At 37.2% G+C, this 21,743-nt stretch overlaps 1 protein-coding gene across 6 annotated transcripts in view; it reads right to left on the reverse strand.

The window, feature by feature from the left end:
- Nucleotides 1-21,743, reverse strand: part of MAGI1 (membrane associated guanylate kinase, WW and PDZ domain containing 1) — a 685,393-nt gene that overhangs the window by 93,255 nt on the left and 570,395 nt on the right. For all 6 annotated transcript variants that reach the window (NM_001033057.2, NM_015520.2, NM_001365904.2 and 3 more), the window contains exons 6-7: nt 6,478-6,560; nt 1,242-1,277 (exon numbers count right to left, since the gene is read on the reverse strand). In NM_001033057.2, the coding sequence (NP_001028229.1) occupies nt 1,242-1,277; nt 6,478-6,560 (119 nt within the window). The remainder of the gene's footprint in view (nt 1-1,241; nt 1,278-6,477; nt 6,561-21,743) is intronic.

Consider the following 21,743-nt stretch of genomic DNA (forward strand, 5'->3'; position numbering starts at 1 on the left):
AACCTTAAGTCATCCCTCTCACAATGACCACAAAGACAACTTATTAAACATCTTTAAAAATAGATCCATCAATAGTTATTGACCATTGTTGGCATGTGCATCAATTACAACAGACAGGTTCCAAATGTTAAGAAAAACAGAGCTTGGTTCTATTCTATCATAATTCTAGCCAACCATGACTGATTATCTTTATCTCACGTAACAAAAATAAAGAAAACCAAATGAATGCAATAATCTATACTAAATAGACTTATATTTTCAGGTCTTTAGGCAATCTCAAAAATGCCAGGCAGATTCAATAATCTTAGTACAGTTCCACTCATACTGATGTTAAACAATCTTCTACTTAAACAATCTTCAATTGCTAAAGAATCTTCCATCAGCCGAGGCTTTCATCAGCAATTTAGCTGAAACTTATGCTTTCCTATGTATCCATCAGCAAATGTATCAGACGGAATGCAAACTAATTTTAATGTTGTTCAAGGTTGAACATAAAGGACTGAACGTAATAGCAAACGTAATTCAATATATTCCAATAGCAAAGAAACAAGAATTTGGCATCATCTGCTAGTATAAATTATTCCTAAACAACAATAACTAGAGTAGTCAAGACTTGATTTGCATTGACACAACTCTAAGGCAAACAGTACATACAGATGCTGCATCACTATATAAACAACCACTCACTACAATGGCAAGGTCAACAACACGTGGTCTGGGACGTAATAACAACACAATCCTAAGACTTAACTATTCAATTCCTCAGTGACCTTCTTTTATTGCAAGTGCTCCTATAATGTTCCTTAAACTAGTCTTAATTGATTTTTGTTTGTCCTGCTTGGCTTTTTTGTATTACCCAAATAACCATCCGTACTAAACAAATAAAGAAATAAGACTGAGACAGGTTATGCCAAAGTTCAAGGGACACAGCGAGCATCTCTTCGGTTCTTTCCCAATCCTCACTTTACAAGACTACCCATTACCAATTTGCTAACTCTCGTTCTAGTCTCTGTTCAGTCAGACATTTTCTTTGTAAACATAATGTACTACAACTCCGCGTGATGCCTGCAGGCAGACACGCAGGTTGTAAGACTGACCTTTCCTGGATAAGCTAGAATGAAAATCATAATTGGAGGAGTGCAAACTAAAGAAACAGGGATTAAGCAATTCACTGGGGAAGAAAACCATGCAGGCCATGTCATGCACGTGTCATGCAGCAGCAGCAGGCAGGGAGGGTTTACCTAGTTCACTGTCCAGCTCCTCGGTGTGTACCCCTTCTTCTCCAAAGGAATAGCAGGAATGAGACAGAAAAGAGAGAAAGCAAAATTCAGACACCAGCACCAAGAAAGGAAATCTCCTCAGGAAAACAGCAGCAAACACATCACTCTAGTTCATCCTTACCTGCATTGTGGCTTATTTCATTGGCTTGGATAGTAAACTTGCGACCTCAGTGTAAATCACAAAACGGGAAGAGCTGATATTGGCAAAATAATTACATGGCTCATTTCCTTGCATGTCAAAATAGGATTTGATTGGTTGTAAAAGATGACAAATACCTTTGCGGTTTCAATGTTCTTAAGTGGGAAGTCACTTATTACAGACCTTATTGGGAGTAAACAAAGCTGTTAGACCTTTCATTATCAGTCCTTTTAATCCTTCAATAATCCTCTAATCAGTGAGGCAATTATACTCACAATTAAAGCATTATTTAACTTACAAGTAACAGTGCTGCTTGAAAAATGGAAGGTGAGGTCAAATTGAAAGTGCAGACTGTATAATGAGCTAACTTTGATGTCTTTCAAAAAGGAGCTGGAAAGATGAATTACGTCAAGATAAAATATATCAAAGAAGAAAGCCTTGAAAACTGCCCTGAAGGAGTGTTGGGAGGCATTTAACTGGTTTTGTGAGAAAACACATACACACACACACACACACACACACACACACACTTTCTAAGTCAAGGAGCTCAGAAATATTAGAATTAAAATGTCCTCAAAAATTTCAGGGAGCAAAACAAGTCCAAATCCTTTCTGTTCTTGACCTCGTCCTCTTGCTGTCAGTACAACATTTTCTTATTGTTGAGAAGAAAACATGGGAGAACACACAAAAATCATTTCATACATAATGTTTCCCCAGGGTCAGGGCAAGTGGCTCCTATAAGCTTCACAAACACAGGAATTGAGCCTGTTTTCAGTACCACAATACGCTCAGTGCCCAGTGTAGCCTTCTGCACATGTTAGGTACTAAATATTTCTTGATGAATGAATGAATGAACCAATCAATCAATGATTGACTTAAATAACCAACATGGGCCTAGACACCTTGTAAACTCTTGATTTGTTGTGGGGTGGGGGGAGGGAGGAGGGATAGCATTAGGAGAAATACCTAATGTAAATGACGAGTTAATGGATGCAGCACACCAACATGGCACATGTATACATATGTAACAAACCTGCACGTTGTGCATATATACCCTAGAACTTAAAGTATAATAATAATAAAAAAATGATCCCACTGCCAGCGGTAAGTTTTGATTGGCACCGTTTCTTAAAAGGAGAATCTAATTTACACAAAGTCATCTGTGAAAATGCCCATTTGGATATTATCTAATGTCTTTGGGAGCATTTGTTCACTTCTTCAGTAGTTATTTATCAAGACCTATGATGTGCCAGTCACTGTGCTAGGTGACATATCAAAATGAACACAATCAGGGGCCAGGCGTGGTGTCTCATGCCTGTAATCCTAGCACTTTGGGAGGCCAAAGTGGGTGGATCACCTGAGGTTGGGAGTTCGAGACCAGCCTGGCCAACATGGTGAAACCCCGACTCTATTAAAAATACAAAAAAATTAGTCAGGCAGGTGGCGCTCACCTGTAATCCCAGCCACTCGGGAGGCTGAGGCAGGAGAATCGCTTGAACAGGGAGGCAAAGGTTGCAGTGAGCAGAGATCATGCCACCACACTCCAGCCTGGGTAACAGGGCGAGACTCCATCTCAAAAAACAGAATCAGACATCTCTACTTTTCCAGAACAGGAGACAAATCCAAGGCTCACACAAATAAAACTAAAATTAAAACCATGATAAGTTCTCAACAGAGTAAGATACATGAGTGACCTAATCATATTTTTGGGGGCAAAGTCATGGAAAAATTCCCTGAAGTATAACCTGAAGGATATGCAAAGTTTAATGTCTGTTGTATTCATTGACACATTCGAATACCTAGGATGCACGTGACATACAGAAATTATTCAATAACTATTGTGAAATATAAGAGTATAGTGAAATGTAAGCGTATTCTAAGAGAGAAATGCACATTTAACTGACATGAGGCAGGAACTCAATGAGGACTAGTGGGGATGAAGAGCAGAGAGCAGAGAAATAGTGTGAGAAAACCTAGAGAGGCTGACCACACAGGGCTCAGAGTAGCAAGCTATGGACCTGGCATTTCCTAAGCAGACCCTGTGGAGGTTGTCAGCGATAACATCATCACATTTACATTTTAAAAGATTTCTCCGAGTACAACATAAAAAGGAGAGTGAAAAGAGTCTGTATGGGAGATGAGCATGATCCCAGATGAGAATGGAAGATGCGGTGAAAAAAATAGTGAATGGATCCAAGAGATATTTAGGATGCCAACTGAATTCAGCTGGTTCACGGGTTAGAAATAGGTGTGAAGAAAAGTGACATATCAAGGGGGAATTTTGAGTATGCATAAATTTACCATGAATGGAGACAGGAAACACTTTGTATATTACGTAATTTGGGGGGAAAGATCATCAGTTTTAATGGTTTTAATACGACTAAGTCGAAGTATCTTTGAGACAATCGTTGACATTATCAATCACATGGATTACAATATTGGTCTGGAGTTCAAAGGCAACACTGAGGGCTTCTAACTGAACTGGACACAGCAGTGACAGAAGGAGTCATTCACTAACATCAAAATCTCAAACCAGTTTCTCGATTTTCTGAGATAGGAAATAGAACATATTAAATCTTTATAATAATTAAGTATGATGCTATACTGTTACACCTCATATGTATGACCTACAGAGAACAGAAAGAAATACAGGGACAATATTTGCAACCAATATGTTTTTCTGCTTTGTGTTATAAATAATAACAAGGCAGCTTTGCGTTAACTGGCAACAGAAAATGCAAACTGATACTTACCATAATCTGATTATATATTTATACTGTTTGTGTGTACAGGCACACAGATATACATAGAATTTCTACTAGAAACAGAATATATGAATTCTAATATTAAAGAGATAATTATAAACTAACTGCATTTGGTATGAATACATTCTTGTTCCAAAGGAAATAACATTAACACAAAAAGATAAGAATTTTAAGAATTAAAAATTACTAGATTTGGTAACAAAAATGCCAATTCCATTCAATACTTTCACTCTATGTACAGTTTTTCTCAGTAAAAGCTATTGCAGTATTCTATCACTTATAATATTGTATTAACAAGCATTTTCATACATTCCCAGAATAATTACAAAAGGGATATTGACATTGAAGACCCTATGGTAATAAGTGCCTAAATTGCTTTCAAAATCATAAGGCATCAAATAATGATTATTGTTCCATGAAATTTTAGGGTTGAATGTGTTTTATGCTATGATCTTTGAAAACTGGTTATTTATGTTCAGGTTGAGTAGTCATTATCCAAAATGGTTAGAATCAAAAGGGTTTCAGATTTTGCATATTTTCAGATTGGAGATACTTGTGTAATATACTTACTGGCTCAGCATTCCTAATCCGAAAATCCAAGATCCAAAATGCTCCAGTGAACATTTCCTCTGAGCATCATGGTGACACTCAGAAAGTTTTGGATTTTGGAGCCTGTTGTTGCTTTGTTTGTTTCTTTTAAGACAGGGTCTCTCTCTGTCACCAAGGCTGGAATGTAGTGGCACAATCACAGCTCTCTGCAGCCTCCTACTCTTGGGCTCAGGTGATCCTTCTGCCTCAGCCTCCCAAGTAGCTGGGACCACAGGCGCATGCCAACACGCCTAGCTAATTTTTGTTTTATTATTTGTAGAGTCAAGGTCTCACTACATTGCCCAGGCTGGTCTTGAACTCCTTGGCTCAAGTGATCCTCCTGCCTCAGCCTCCCAAAGTGCTGAGATTACAGGTATGAGCCACACCATGCCTGGCCAGTTTTGGAGCATTTTGGACTTCAAATTTTGGGATCAGGGATACTTAACCAGTATTACATGTTAAACAGAATACTGAAATAATCAGTATAGTCTATTATCTCCCAAGCATGCAAAATACCAGAGCTGAATGAACCTGTTCTATTCCTTCTTCAGGAATCAAACAAAGCAACCAAGATAAAACAAAGCAACCAAGATAAAACAAACATCTTGGTCATGCCTCCTAAGTTAGAAGGACTTTTGTTTCCATTTGAAGTAACTCAGATAAATACCAACACAATAGTCTATGTCATTTAACGTAATCTGCAAACCATGTATAATAGAAGGATCATGGAGTGCAAGGTTTTCACAGTATTATACTATAAAATACTGCCTTGCATTTTCAAAAAATCTTCAAGTTTATATATACAACCATTCTGCACTATAGGACGAATAATAAAGTTCTGTTATCTTACAGTAAAATACATATTTAATAATTATACTACTAATTCACATGCCAGAATTGAATAATGAGTAGCAAAGCAGAGCGAAGCAAACCATTTCCCTTTTCATTCTTCCACATCAAAAAATAATTTTGGTAGAACTTGGGATAGACGTTGGTGTACTGAAAAGGGACACACTAGCTCTGTTTCAATTTTTTTTTTTTTTCATTTTGGAGAAGTAATTAGAAAACCCAAAGCCTTGAAATGAACTTTTTCAACAAAAGCTCTTACAGCCAGTTAGTTCATTTCCAAGATTAACAGGGAGAGTGGTGCTCTAGGTAACACCTCAACCTCTGTCTCAAAAGAATACACTTACTACATATTGTGGGTATACTCTAAGTTACACAGAGATTCTCAAACATGTCTAGATCTGTTTCCCCTACCTCCAAGACTAGGGAAGTATGTGAAATATGTACAGTTCAAGAAAAACTCCCAACTTTTCCCCCTAAGACTTTTATAAGATAGGGTTAAACCTGAGAATGTGTGACTGACCAGACCGTCTTTGGTTTCTTTATTCCTAGAGACTTTCTAGAATTTACTCTAAGTTCCTGAAGACAGAGGACGTATCTTCATTTGAACAGTTTCTGACTGTTCTGCTTCTAATGGAGATATTAGTAAGCATCTGTCTTTATGTGTAAACAAATTCTTCTCTTGAAACAACTCTGACTTTCTTCCTGCTTTTGTAAACCACAGTCCATTTAGCAGAAATTGGATTACCTTTTAAAAACTCAACATAAGACCCGACTGACCTGGCTACGACTCTTTAAAATTTGCACATGTGAACAGTGCCCCCAATTCACTTAACCCAAGACCTGCCTGGCCCCTTACCATCATCTTCACACTCTTCCAGTGGCTTCTGCTGCTTGTTTAGGCACCGAGGGTCTAACCAAGATGTTGTTTTCGTGTTATGGCTGCAATCCAGAAACAAAAATAAGAAATTTGTTTGAAAAAAAAAAAAAAAAGCAAGAAGCCCAATGACGGAATTACACACTCTTGAATATTTCTTCCTTAACTACAACAAAGATGCTTTCCAACAGCAAATCCAAACCAGAAGAGAGCCTGAGTTTACAATTATAAAATGGCTTGGGGAGGGTCTTAGGTAGGCTTTTTACTTACCTAACATATGATTATTCAATTACTGAAAGCTTAAAAAATAATACCAGTTTTATTTTTGAAAAATAAGTTACAAATGATACCCCTTGCGTATACCATCTACCCTTGTCTAGATTATTTTAGGCTTTGCATTTGCCACAGAGAAAACTTCCATTTATTTTAAGTATATCTATGACTTGAGTCTTGGATGCTGAAACTCACAAAGAGGGCTGCTATTTCATTCATTATATTACATAAGAATTCTCATGACAGCATGAAACTACCTTAATTCACATAAATGACTCAAAACTACCAATACACATCATTAAATCACAATGTCCTAAATTATGCTTTGGACATAATGAAGGCAGCCCCAAATTACTCGTCATAAATAGAATCTGGACCAAGGATAAGCTTGGAGAGGCTAAACATGTCACTCAACTGCCTTTTAAGGGATAAAGTTCAATTCTAGATGAAGTATTTCAACAGATGGTGACTGGGGCCCTGCAGATTTGAAAGTGTAGAGACACATTCCCAAAGATATCGCCATTCAATCATATTAGAAATGTCACCAGAATGGTTGGAAGCATTCAGCTTTTGTGCTTCCCAAAGCAGTGGCTGGGACAAAGTTCTGCTTGAGCCCCCAGGGCACCATGCAGCTAAGTGGGTGGGGCAAACAACTCCAGTCCAGTAGTTCTGGCTACAAACTAGACATGAAAACAAATTGGAAATCATCATTCTCAGTAAACTATTGCAAGAACAAAAAACCAAACACCGCATATTCTCACTCATAGGTGGGAACTGAACAATGAGAACACATGGACACAGGAAGGGGAACATCACACTCTGGGGACTGTTGTGGGGTTGGGGGAGGGGAGAGGGATAGCATTGGGAGATATTCCTAATGCTAGATGACAAGTTAGTGGGTGCAGCGCACCAGCATGGCACATGTATACATATGTAACTAACCTGCACATTGTGCACATGTACCCTAAAACTGAAAGTATAATAATAATAATAATAATAATAATAATAAAAAAATACTTGTTTTACAAAAAAAAAAGAAGTTTTTTTAAAAATTAAGTTCAGGCAGTAACTTAAAACTTTTTTTGAACTGTGACATTTCGGTTGTAAATTTGGGAGTTGGCAGGGAAGAGGGTTTGCCAAAGTTTTTTATTTTTGATTCAAATCTTATTAATTGTCAAAAAAAAAAACATATGGCTTAAGAGAAAAACAGAATCTGCGAATGTATACACGTCATATCAACTGTGTTAAAATAAAAATAACAAAAGGTAATATAGCAACCACCACCATCACCACCACGTATGACTGCCAGAATCTGTTCTTACAATAACCCTATGAGAGAAGTATTATTAGCATTAAAATTATTGCTCCCCATATTACAAATGAGAAAACTGATAATAGAAAGGTAAAGCAATTTGTCTAAGGACACCCTGCTGAGACATCACAGAACTGGGAATTAAACCCAGAAAGTTTTGCACTAGAATCCACAGTCTGCACTACTCCTACACAGTAAGATAATAACAAGGATCATTGTTAGGAGAGGAGATTATGCAGGATTAAGAAAAAAACTGTGTTTAAAACAAAAATAACTGTAGATTCACATTCAGTTAAAAGAAAGAAGAGAGATCCCACACACCCTTTACCTAGAACCCATCAATAATAACATCCTGCAAAACTATAGTATACCGTGACAACTAGGATACTGATACTGACACAGTCAACATACAAAACATTTTCATCATCACAGGGGTCCCTCACGTTGCTCTTTTATAGTCACAACTGGTTACCTTCCAACCATTCCCCCCAACCCTCTTCTTAATCCCTGGTAACTACGAATCTGTCCTCTATTTCTATAATTTTGTCATTTCAAGAAGGTTATATAGCGCTGGGCGGGGTGGTACATGCCTGTAACTCCAGCACTTTGGAATGTCAAGCCAGGTGGATTGCTTGAGCTCAGGAGTTCAAAACCAGCCTGGACAATGTGGTGAAATGCCATCTCTACAAAAAAATACAAAAAAATTAGCCAGGTGTGGTGGCACACACTAGCCAGGTGTGGTGGTGCGCACCTGTGGTCCTAGCTACTGGAGAGGCTGAGGTAGCAGGATCACCTGAGCCCAGGAGGCAGAGGTTGCAGTGAGCAGAGACTGTGCCACTGTACTCTAGCCTGGGCGACAGAGTGAGATGCTGTCTCAAAATAAAATAAAAATAAAAATAATTTTAAAAAGAATGTTATGTAAATGGAATCATTGTATGTCTTACTTTATGACTGGCTTTTCCCCTCAGCATAATTCTCATCAAGATTGTTGTATATATCAATAATCAATTCTTTTCATTGCTGAGTAGTATTCCATGGAATGAATGTATCACAGCCTGTCTAACCACTCAAAGACATCTGGATCATTTCTAGTTTTTGGCTATTTGGACAAATTTGTTATAAACATTCATGTACATGTTTTTGTGTGAATTTAAGTGTTCACTTCTCTGGGATAAATGATCACGTGTGTCGTTGCCAAATGGTATGAGCTGCATGCTTAGTTTCTTAGGAACTGTTTTCTAGAATGCCAGACAATCCCACCAGCAATGGATGAGAGATCCAGTTTCACTGAATTTTTACCATCACTTAGTGTTGTCACTATTTTTTACTTTAGCCATCTTAATAAGCAAATGACATCTCATTGTGGTTTTCATTTCCATTTCCCTAGAGCTAACTAATTTTTTCCCTAGGGCTGAACTAATATTTCATGTGCATATCTTCCATCTATATACCCTTTTCAGTGAAATGTCTGTCCCTCTGTCCCTCTCTTTAGTTCACATTCTCAATGAATGGTTTGATATTTTTTTTTTTTCACTCCGGAGTTTTGAGAGTCCTTTGTATATTCTACATACCAGTCCTTTTTTAGGTGTGGAGTCTGTAAACATTTTCTCTGTAGTTTGTCCTTTCATCCTCTATCAGACTCTTCCACAAATCAAAAAATTTTCATTTTAATGATGTCAAATTTATCATTTTTTCTTTCTCAGGGATCTTGCTTTTGATGTCTCTTTGCCTAGCCCTGTATTTCAAAAATTTTCTGGTTTTTTGGTTCCCTAAAAGTTTTATTGTTTTATGTTTTACATTTCAGAGTCTGAATTATTTGGGGTTAATTTTTTGGTATGAAGTGTGGGGTTTAGGTGGAGGTTAGCTTACATGCCTCTGGTCGTCCACTTGCTCTTGGACCATTTACTGAAAAGGCTATCTGCCCTCCATTGGAATGCTTTCAAATTGAATTGCTTTTGTAAAAAATCAGTTGGGCACACTTATGGATCTATCTCTGGTTCTGCCTTCTGTCCCATTAGGTTATGAGTCTATTCCTTCACCAATAACACACAGTCTTTATTATTGTGACTATATAATAAAGTCACAATATGTAAATTAGTACATTTGATATCAAGCAGACTAATTACTATGACTTCATTCTTCCTTTTTGTAATTGTTTTAGCTATTCTCTTTCCTTTGCCTTTCCATTTATATTTTAGAATAAACTTGTCTGTATCTACAAAAAGACTGAGATTTTGACAGAAATTACATTAAACCTGTATATCCATTTGGGGAGCACTGACATCTCTATCAATTCTGAGTCTTCCTGTATGTCCACGAGACATTGTCTCAAAATAAAATAAAAATAAAAATAATTTTAAAAAGAATGTTATATAAATGGAATCATTGTATGTAATACTTTATGATTGGCTTTTCCCCTCAGCATAATTCTCATCAAGATTGCTGTATATATCAATAATCAATTTCTTCTATTGCTGAGTAGTATTCCATGAAATTAATGTATCACACAGCCTGTCTAACCACTCAAAGACATCTGGATCATTTCTAGTTTTTGGCTATTTGGACAAATTTACTATAAAAATTCATGTACATGTTTAAGTATATCTCTCCATTTATAAGGAACTTCTTTGACCTCTTTCATTAGCATTTTATAGTTTACAGTATATAAGATCCAATATATGGTTTGTTAGATTGACACCTGTATTATTTTTTTGAGCAACCTTAAATTATATTTTATTTTTGATTTTGGTAACCAAGTATTCTAGTATATAGATATACACTTGCTATTTATTAAATTTTAAATTTTTGTGGGTACATGGTAGGTGCACATATTTATGAGGTGTAGAAGATACTTCGATACAGACATACAATGTGTAATGATCACATCAGGGTAAATGAAGTGACCATCTCCCTCAAGCATTTATTCTATGTTACAAACAATTCAATTATATTCATTTAATTATTTTTAAATGTACAATTACATTATTATTGACTACAGTCACCCTGCTGTGCTATCAAATACTAAATCTTATTCATTCTTTCTATTTTTTTGTAGCCATTAACCATCTCCACTTCCCCTTACCACCACTCCACCACCCTTCCCAGCCTCTGGTAACCATCATTCTACTCTACCTCCATGGGTTCAATTGCTTTAATTTTTAGTTCCACAAATAAGTGAGAACATGTGAAGCTTGCCTTTCAGTGCCTGGCTTATTTCACTTAACATAATGACCTCCAGTTCCACAAAGGTTGTCGCAAATGACTAGTTCTCATTCTTTTTTATGGCAGAACAGTACTTCATTGGGTATATGGACTCCACTTTCTTTATCCATTTATCTGTTGATGAACATTCAGGTTGTTTCCAAATCATGACTATGGCGAATAGTCCTGCAATAAACATGGGAGTGCAGGTATCTCTTCAATATACTGATTTCCTTTAGGTATGGGTACATACCTAGCTGGATCATGTGATAGCTCTATTTTTAGTTTTTCTGTTTGTTTGTTTTTTTTTTTTGGAGGAACCCCCAAACCGTTTCCCATAGTGATTATACTAATTTACATTCCCAATAACAGTGTGAGAAGGTTTCCTTTTCTCCACATCCTCGCCAGCATTTGTTATTGCCTGTCTTTTGGATAAAACCCATTTTAACTGGGGTAAGATAACTCATTGTAGCTTTGATTTGCATTTCTCTGATGATCAGTGATGTTGAGCACCTTTTCACATATCTGTCTGCCATCTGGAGTCTTCTTTTGAGAAATGTCCACTCAGATCTTTCCCCCATTTTTCAATCAGACTACTAGATTTTTCCATAGAGTTGCTTGAGCTCCCTATATATATTCTCGTTATTAATCCCTTGTCAGATGGACAGTTTGCAAATATTTTCTCCCATTCTGTGGGTTGTCTCCTCACTTTGTTTCCTTTTCTGTGCAGAAGCTTTTTAACTTGATGTGATCCCATTTGTCCATTTTGCTTTGGTTGCCTGTGCTTATGGGGTATTACTCAAGAAATCTTTGCCCACTCTCATGTCCTGGAGAGCTTCCTCAATGTTTTGTTTCGGTAGTTTCATAGTTGGAGGTCTTAGACTAAAGCCTTTAATCCATTTTGATTTGACTTTAGTATATGGAGAGAGATATGGGATAGTTTCATTCATCTGTATATGGATATCCAGTTTTCCCAACACCATTTATTGAAGAGACCATCCTTTCCCCAATGTGTGTGCTTGGCACCTTTGTCTAAAATGAGTTCACCGTAGATGTATGGATTTGTTTCTGGTTCTCTATTCTGTTCCATTGGTCTATGTGTCTGCTTTTATGCCAGTACTGTGCTGCTTTGGTTACTACATCTCTGTACTATTATTTGAAGTCAGGTAATGTACTTCCTCCAGTTTTATTCTTTGACTCAGGATATATTTGGCTATTCTGGGTCTTTCGTGGTTCCATATAAATTTTAGAATTGTTTTTTATATTTCTGTGAGGAATATCTTTGGTATATTGATAGGGATTGCATTGAATGTGTAGACTTCTTTGAGTAGTATGGACATTTTAACAATATTGATTCTTCCAATCCATGAACACGGAATACAACTGCTATTTATATGCTTATCTTTTATCTTGCAACCTTGCTGAACTCGCTTATTATAAAATTTTCTTTGTACGTTTCTCATGATTTTCTACTAAGATAACCATATAATCTGCAAACAGGAGTAGTTTTATTTCTTCCTTTTCAATCTGTATGGCTTTTACTTCTTTATCTTGAACTATAACCCTGGCTAGAAATTCCAGCATGATGTTGAATAACCACGGGAACAGCTCAGCACTTTGGGTGGCTGAGGCAGGTAGATTTCTTGAGCCCAGGAGTTGGAGACCAGCCTGGGCAACACAGAAAAACCCTGTCTCTATAAAAACTACAAAAAATTAGCTGGGTGTAGTGGCATGTACCTGTAGTCCCAGCTACTTGGGAGGCTGAGGTGGGAGAATCACCTGAGCTCAGAGAAGTTAAGACTGCAGTGAGCTGCGTTAACACCACTGCACTCCAACATGGGCAACAGGAGTGAGACCCTGTCTCAAGAAAAAAAAGAAAAAAAGAAAAAAGAGTGGGGACAACTGACATCCTTGGCTTGTTTTCACACTTGCAGGGAAGGCATTTCATCTTTTCACTATTAAGTATAACGTTGGTCATTGGTTTTCTGTAGATGCTCTTTAACAAGTCAAAGAAATTTCCCTTAATTCCTATTTTCCCATGTGAAGACTGCTGAATTTTGTCAAATGCTTTTTCTGCATCGATTCATATGAGCATTGATTCTTTAGCCTGTTAACATGGTGGGTTACACTGATTGATTTATTTGAATACTGAGAAAGCCTTGAAGCACTAGAACAATTCCCACTTGATCATGGGAAATTGCTGATTACTACTTACTAAATTTTGTTAAAGATTTTTGCATTTATGCCTTTTTTGTACTGTGTTTAGTTTTGTTATCAAGGTAATATTAGCTTCATAAAAATAACTGTAGAGTGTTCTTCCTCTTTTATTTTCTGGAAGACATTATGTAGAAATAGTGTAATAGTTCAATATTCCTTTTTCAGGAGTTCTTAAATATACAAATTCATCCCTCATTATCTTTTTTTTTTGTGATGAGTGACTCCTCATTTAAGCCTGGGAATACTACTTGCATTACTTATTTCTTCTTCTTTTTTAAAAAAATTATACTTAAGTTCAGGGATACATGTGCAGAACATGCAGATTTGTTACACAGGTATACATGTGCCATGGTGGTTTGCTGCACCCATCAACCTGTCATCTACATTAGGTATTACTCCTAATGCTGTGCCTCCCCTTACCCACCACCCTCCAACAGGTCCCCTAGTGTGTGATGTTCCCCTCCCTGTGCCCATATGTCCTCATTGTTCAACTCCCACTTATAAGTGAGAACATGGGGTGTTTGGTTTTCTGTTCCTATATTAGTTTGCTGAGAATGAGGGTTTCCAGCTTCATCCATGTCCCTGCAAAGGACATGAACTCATTCTTTCTTATGGCTGCATAGTATTACATGGTATATATGTGCCACATTTTCTTTATCCAGTCTATCATTGATGGGCATTTGGGTTGGTTCCAAGTCTTTGCTATTGTGAATAGGGCTGCAATAAACATACGTGTGCATGTATATTTATAGTAGAATGATTTATAATCCTTTGGGTATATACCCAGTAATGGAATTGCTGGGTCAAATGGTATTTCTAGTTGTATATCCTGGAGGAATTGCCACACCGTCTTCCACAATGGTTGAACTAATTTACACTCCCACCAACAGTGTAAAAGCATCTCTCTGGCATCTGTTGTTTCTTGACTTTTTATTTATTTATTTATTTATTTTTTGCGATGGAGTCTTGCTCTGTCGCCCAGGCTGGTGTGCAGTGACACGATCTCGGCTCACTGCAACCTCCACCTCCCAGGTTCAAGCAATTCTCCTGCCTCAGTCTCCTGAGTAGCTGGAACTATAGGCTCGTGCCAATACACCCGCCTAGTTTTTTGTATTTTTAGTAGAGATGGTGTTTCACCACGTTAGGCAGGATGGTCTCGATCTCCTGACCTCATGATCCGCCCATCTTGGCCTCCCAATGTTTCTTGACTTTTTTTTTTTTTTTTTTTAAGACAGAGTCTCACTCTGTCGCCCAGGCTGGAGAGTGGTGGCGTGATCTTGGCTCACTGCAAGCTCCGCCTCCCGGGTTCACGCCATTCTCCTGCCTCAGCCTCCCGAGTAGCTGGGACTACAGGCGCCCGCCACCACGCCTGGCTAATTTTCTGTATTTTTAGTACAGATGGGGTTTCACCGTATTAGCCAGGATGGTCTCGATCTCCTGACCTCATGATCCACCTGCCTCAGCCTCCCAAAGTACTGGGAATACAGGCGTGAGCCACCACGTCCAGCCTGTTTCTTGACTTTTTAATGATTGCCATTCTAACTGGCATGAGATGGTATCTCATTGTGGTTTTGATTTGCATTCCTCTAATGACTAGTGATGATGAGCTTTTTTTCACATATTTGTTGGCCACATAAATGTCTTCTTTTGAAAAGTGTCTGTTCATATCCTTTGCCCACTTTTTGATAGGGTTGTTTTTTTCTTGTAAATTTGTTTAAGTTCCTTGTAGATGCTGGATGTTAGCCCTTTGAATGGATAGATTCCAAACATGTTCTCCCATTCTGTAGGTTGCCCATTCACTATGATGATAGTTTCTTTTGCTGTGCAGAAGCTCTTTAGCTTAACTAGATCCCATTTGTCAATTTTGGCTTTTGTTGCCATTGCTTTTGGTGTTTTAGTCATGAAGTCTTTGCCCATGCCTATGTCCGGAAAGGTATTGCCTAGATTTTCTTCTAGGGTTTTTATGGTTTTAGGTCTTATGTTTAAGTCTTTAATCCATCTTGAGTTAATTTTTGTATAAGGTGTAAGTAAGAGATCCAGTTTCAGTTTTCTGCATATGGCTAGCCAGTTTTTCCAACACCATTTATTAAATAGGGAATCCTTTCCCCATTGCTTGTTTTTGTCAGGTTTGTCAAAGATCATATGGTTGTAGATATGTGGTGTTATTTCTGAGGCCTCTGTTCTGTTCCATTGGTCTATATATCTGTTTTGCTACTGATACTATGCTGTTTCGGTTACTGTAGCCTTGTAGTATAGTTTAAAGTCAGATAGCATGATGCCTCCAGCTTTGTTCTTTTTGCTTAGGATTGTCTTGGCTACATGCTCTTTTTCTGGTTCTATATGAAATTTAAAGTAGTTTTTTCTAATTCTGTGAAGAAAGTCAATGGTAGCTTGATGGGGATAGCATTGAATCTATAAATTACTTTGGGCAGTATGGCCATTTTCACAATATTAATTCTTCCTATCCATGAGCATGGAATGTTTTTCCATTTATTTGTGTCCTCTCTTATCTCCTTGAGCAGTGGTGCGTAGTTCTCCTTGAAGAGCTGCTTCACATCCCTTGTAAGTTGTATTCCTGGGTATTTTATTCTCTTTGTAGCCATTGTGAATGGGAGTTCACTCATGATTTGGCTCTCTGTTTGTCTACTATTGGTGTATAGGAATGCTTGTGATTTTTTGCACATTGATTTTGTAGCCTGAAACTTTCCTGAAATTGTTTACCAGCTTAAGGAGTTTTTAGGCTGAGATGATGGGGTTTTCTAAATATATAATCATGTCATCTGCAAACAGAGATAATTTGACTTCCTCTCTTCCTATCTGAATATGCTTTATTTCTTTCTCTTGCCTGATTGCCCTAGCCAGAACTTCCAGGTGGTAAGAGAGGGTATCCTTGTCTTGTGCCAGTTTCAACGGGAATGCTTCCAGCTTTTGCCCATTCAGTATGATATTGGCTGTGGGTTTGTCATAAATAGCTCTTCTCATTTTGAGATATGTTCCAACAATACCTAGTTTATTGAGTGTTTTTACCATGAAAGGGTGTTGAATATTATTGAAGGCCTTTTCTGAAACTGTTGAGATAATCATGTGGTTTTTGTCATTGGTTCTGTTTATGTGATGGATTATGTTTATTGATTTGCATATGTTGAACCAGCCTTGCAGCCCAGGGATGAAGCTGACTTGATCGTGGTGGATAAGCTTTTTAAAGTGCTGCTGGATTCGGTTTGCCAGTATTTTATTAAGGATTTTCACATCGATGTTCATCAGGGATATTGGCCTGAAATGTGTGTGTGTGTGTGTGTGTGTGTGTGTGTGTGTGTGTGTGTGTCTGCCAGGTTTTGGTATCAGGATGATGCTGGCCTCACAAAAAGAGTTAGGGTGGAGACCCTCTTTTTCTATTGCTTGGAATAGTTTCAGAAAGAATGGTACCAGCTCCTCTGTATAACTCTGGTAGTATTTGGCTGTGAATCCATCTGGTTCTGGGCTTTTTTTGGTTGGTAGGTTATTAATTACTGCCTCAATTTCAGAACTTGTTATTGGTCTATTCAGGGATGCAACTTCTTCCTGGTTTAGTCTTGGGTGGGTGTATGTGTCCAGGAATTTATCCATTTCTTCTAGATTTTCTAGTTTATTTGCATAGAGGTATTTATACTATTCTCTGATGGTAGTTTGTATTTCTGTAGGATCAGTGGTGATATCCCCTTTATCATTTTTTATTGTGTTTATTCTATTCTTCTCTCTTTCAGGGATGCCCTGGCCAGAGAGGAGGAATCTCCACCTCTTATTATCTTGAATGACTTTAGGGTCCATAGTGACTCCTTACTTAATTCCTAATATTGACAATTTGGTCTGCTCTCATTTTTTTCTTTGTCAATCTTATTAGAGGTTCTTCAATTTTTTTAATCCTTTTGAAGAATCAGCTATTTCTTTCATTGATTTTTATCTATTGTTTTTCAGCTCTTGACAATTTCTCCTCTTACCTTTATTATTTCCTTCCATCTTTTTGAGCTTAAGTTATTCTTCTCTTCCCAGGTTCTTGCACTGGGAGTTTAGATTGTTAATTTGAGACTTTTCCTCTTTTCTCATATATATGTTTAGTGCTGTAAATTTACCTCTCATCACTGCCTTGGCTGTGTCCCACCTATTTTAATGTGCTGTATTTACATTTTCATTCAGTTCAATTTATTTGCTTATCTTTAATTTCCCTTGAGACTTCCTCTTTGACCCATAGATTATTTAAAAGTATGTTGTTTAGTTTGCTTCTAATTCATTGGAGATTTTCCTACTGTATCTGACATTAATATGTCAACTCTTGCTTCTTTCGATTAACATTTACAAGATATATTTTTCCATCCTTTACTTTCAACATACCTATATTGCTACATTTGAAATCATGCGTCATAGATAGCACACAATTAGGTCATGCTTTTTAATTCACTTTGCCATTCCCCATCGTTAAAGTGCTGTATTTAGTTCACTTTATTAAATGTAGTTATTGATATGTTAGGGCTTAAGTCTTCCATTTTGTTTGTAATTTTCTTTTTGTTCTGTTTTTCTTTCCTCTGTTTTATTTTTCTGGCCTTTCTGTGGGTTACATGAATATTTTAGAATTCTGTTTTTATATATCTACAGTACTGTTGAGTATATCTCCTTTGTATAGCTTTTAAGTGGCTGCTTTAGGTACTACATTACATATATATGCACACATTTTATATATATATATATATAATCTATAAATATATTTTATATATCTTATAGTCTACTGGCATTATCATTTTACCGCTTTGACTGAAGTAGATAAACCTTATCTCCATTGATATTCTTTTACCCTCCCTCACTTATAATGAATTACCTTAAATATTCTCTCTACACACATTTAGAAACATTAAACAGTACTATTATTGCTTCAACACTCAAACCTAATTTGGAAAATTTAAAGAGATGCCAATTATATCTCAATAAAAATGGGAAAAAAGAAAACTCAAAAGATGAAGAAAAGTATTTTATTTATCTATAGTTTTACTTTCTCCATTCTTCTCTTTTCCTCATTGTTTTTGTTGGTTGTTTTTTTTTTTAGAATTTTGGTATTGTTTTAGAATTCTCTTTTTGTTTAGAGAACATCCATTGGCCATTTATTGAGAGTAGGCCTGCTGGCAGCAAATTTTCTTAGTTTTCTTTCGTCTAAGAATATTTTCATTTTCCCTTGATTCCTAAAGGTTATTTTCACTGGATGTAGAATTTTGGGTTAATTCTTCTTTTCTTTCAGCACTAGAAAAATGCTATGCCACTTCCTTTCGGCCTTTGTTGTTTCTGATGACAAATATGCTGTCATTTTACTTGTTTCACTAACATACATAGGGTGTCATTTCTCATCGCTTTCAACCTTTTTCTGGTTTTAGTTTTCAAAAATTTGACTATGAATGTGTCTTGCTGTAGTTTTCTTTGGATTCAGCCAGCTTATTGAATCTGTAGGTTTATTTCTTTTGCCAAATTCAGAAAATTTTCAACCATTAGTTCTTCAAGTACTTTTCTTTTCAGTCCTACCCACTTTCTATTCCCCTGGGACTCCAATGAAATAAATGTTAGATCTTTTGTTACTGTTCCAAATGCCCCTGAAGCTCTGTTTGTTGGTTGGTTGGTTTTCTTCCCCCAGTTGATTTTCTCTCTATTGTTCTTATTGGGTAATTTCTATTTTCAGGTCCACTGATTCTCTCCTCTCCCCACTCTCTTCTGCTGTTGAATCCATCTACTAAGCTTTTTGTTTTGGCTACTGTATTTTTCAGTTGAAAATTTTCTACTTTTTTTAAATCATCTATGGCTTTGCTGAGACTTTCTATTTTTGGCTGAAACATTCTAATTTTCTACTTGGCTTAAGCATGGTATAACTGCTTGCTGAAGTAATTTTATGATGGCTGCGTTAAAATCTGTTAGGTAATTCTAACAGTGCTGTTATCGCTGTGTTAGTATCTACTCATTGCCTTTTTTCACTCATTTTGATATCTTCCTGATTCTTAGGATAATAAGTGATTTTTTTTATTAACATGGATTTTTTGGTATTACATTATAGGGGTCTGGATCTTAAACCTTCTATGGGCTTTTCCTAATATGGCCGAAAAGAGGAAAGGGGGCTATCTGTTACTTTTAGGTGGGGTCTCCATTTGGCTTTTGTTGACACCGGAGAGGGGAATGGGCTCCTTCTTACCGCTGGGTGGGGATAGTGGCTTGAGCTCCCCACCAGGCCTTTGTTGATACCAGCTAGGCTGGGAGGGGTAGGACTATCTCACTATTGCTCCCAAGCTGGCCTCTCTGACTCCACAGGGAGAGGGTGGGCTCTTCACCATTGGATGGGGGTAAAAATCCTGATTCTCCTCTAAACCTCCTCTGACACCACACCAGTGGGGAGGAAGAGGGTGTTTCATTACTGCCAGGTGGGGTGGAAGTCCTGAGTTCCCTCAAGTGGTCTCCACTAAATCTATGTGGAAATAAGGGGAATTTCCTTACTGCCTGGATGCAAAGTGCCAGCTCTACACTTGGCCTTTTCTGACGCCACCCAGCAGGGAGGTTTCAGCTCCTAGTCCCACAGCCTGTCAAGCTTCTACCCTTGGGGCGTAGGACCACAGGTTTTTCTGCACTGTTGCTGGAGTAGAATGGTTGTTGGATAAAAGTTTTCTGTCTTGTAGGATGCCCCTTTCCTGATCCTTTGGCTAGAGAGAGCACGCTTTTATCAGGGCTTTATTTGCCTCTATCTGTAGGCATTTCTGGGTTGCTGGCTCTTTAGCTTTAAGTCTGGATAAATGGAGTAAAACAGAAAGGGAACTCACCACCTAGTATTCCTTTGATCCCATGCTCCCTAGCCAGTCTGTCTTATTTGCTCTTCCTTTCAAAGTCTTCTTATGTTTGTTTTCTATACAATGCCAAAGGTTTATAAATCCATGCTTGATTTTTTAATGTTCTTTTAAATTTCTACTATTTCTTCAACTTCCCAAAAACTATAAAACAAATGTGTATATATTTGCATGTGAGTGTACATACACGTACATGCATAAACAAGGTAGATCTGGTTCTAATGCGGTTTAATTTGCTATTCAATGGAAGATATCCTAAAAAGAAGTGTTTCGGAATGAAAAACACATGAAAACAAAGTAACAAGTATATATAATTTAGGCTAAAATATAAATGATATGTATCTAATCACTTAATATATATGAAATTTGATAGTTGCAGCCCAAATCCCATAATTATCATTAGCCACATTTTTGTATAAGTTTTCTACTAAACCTTAGGTAAATGAAACATTGGCTTCACATCAGCTAAAACCTAAGTTATAAAAAGTAGGCAAATCACTACATTCTCTTGTAAGCCAGCCATAGTTTAGGAGGCCAGCATCCTGCTAACCATCAAGATATCCACCTTCCCTTTTTCCAATATATCAAGTCAGTCTTGAACAAAATTACTGGTACATTCTTTTCTAAGAATCTGAGTTTCACAGATTATTCTGTACCAGGAACACCTATTATCCTTCCCTTTTCTCAGCGTAATTCTTCTTTACTAATGTGACATAATTTCGAAGGCAATTTAATGCAAAAGCTAAGTAAAAAATCCTGAGTTTATGGTTGGTATCCATTTTTATAACAATGTTTAAACTCCTCAGAATAACCACAGATAATGATGATGAAAATGGTAACAATAACAATAGTGATCACTAATTACTACTAGCCCAAGAACTTTAGCTTCTCTATCTCCTCTAATTCTTACAACAGTCTGACAAGGTAGGTACAATTCATAATATTCAAGTCCTCTTTTTATATATATGTATAGAAAGCTGAGATGCAAGAAGTAAACTCAAGTTCCTAAGGTCAAATAACTTGTAAATGATGGAAACAACATGACCCTTTAGTTGAGCTCTTAACTAATACACTTCTTGACTCTCAAGAAAAGACTGCTTCTTTTATCCTTATCTTTAAAAAGCATTTGTCATTAACATGAAGACAGAAACATGGGTTGTCCCCTCTCTCTGGCTGGAAAATAGCACAGAAGCTCTATTTCACTTATCTCAGAACTCTTCCCGGGTAGATTCTCAAAGAGGGTATTCTTTTTTTTTTTTTTTTTTTTTTTTTTTTTGAGACAGAGTCTTGCTCTGTTACCCAAGCTGTGCAGTGGTGCAATCTCGGCTCACTGCAACCTCCACCTCCCAGGTTCAAGTGATACTCTTGCCTCAGCCTCTCAAGTGGCTGGGACTATAGGCATG

Source organism: Homo sapiens, chromosome 3 (genome assembly GCF_000001405.40).
Source record: "Homo sapiens chromosome 3, GRCh38.p14 Primary Assembly".
Lineage (NCBI taxonomy): Eukaryota > Metazoa > Chordata > Mammalia > Primates > Hominidae > Homo > Homo sapiens.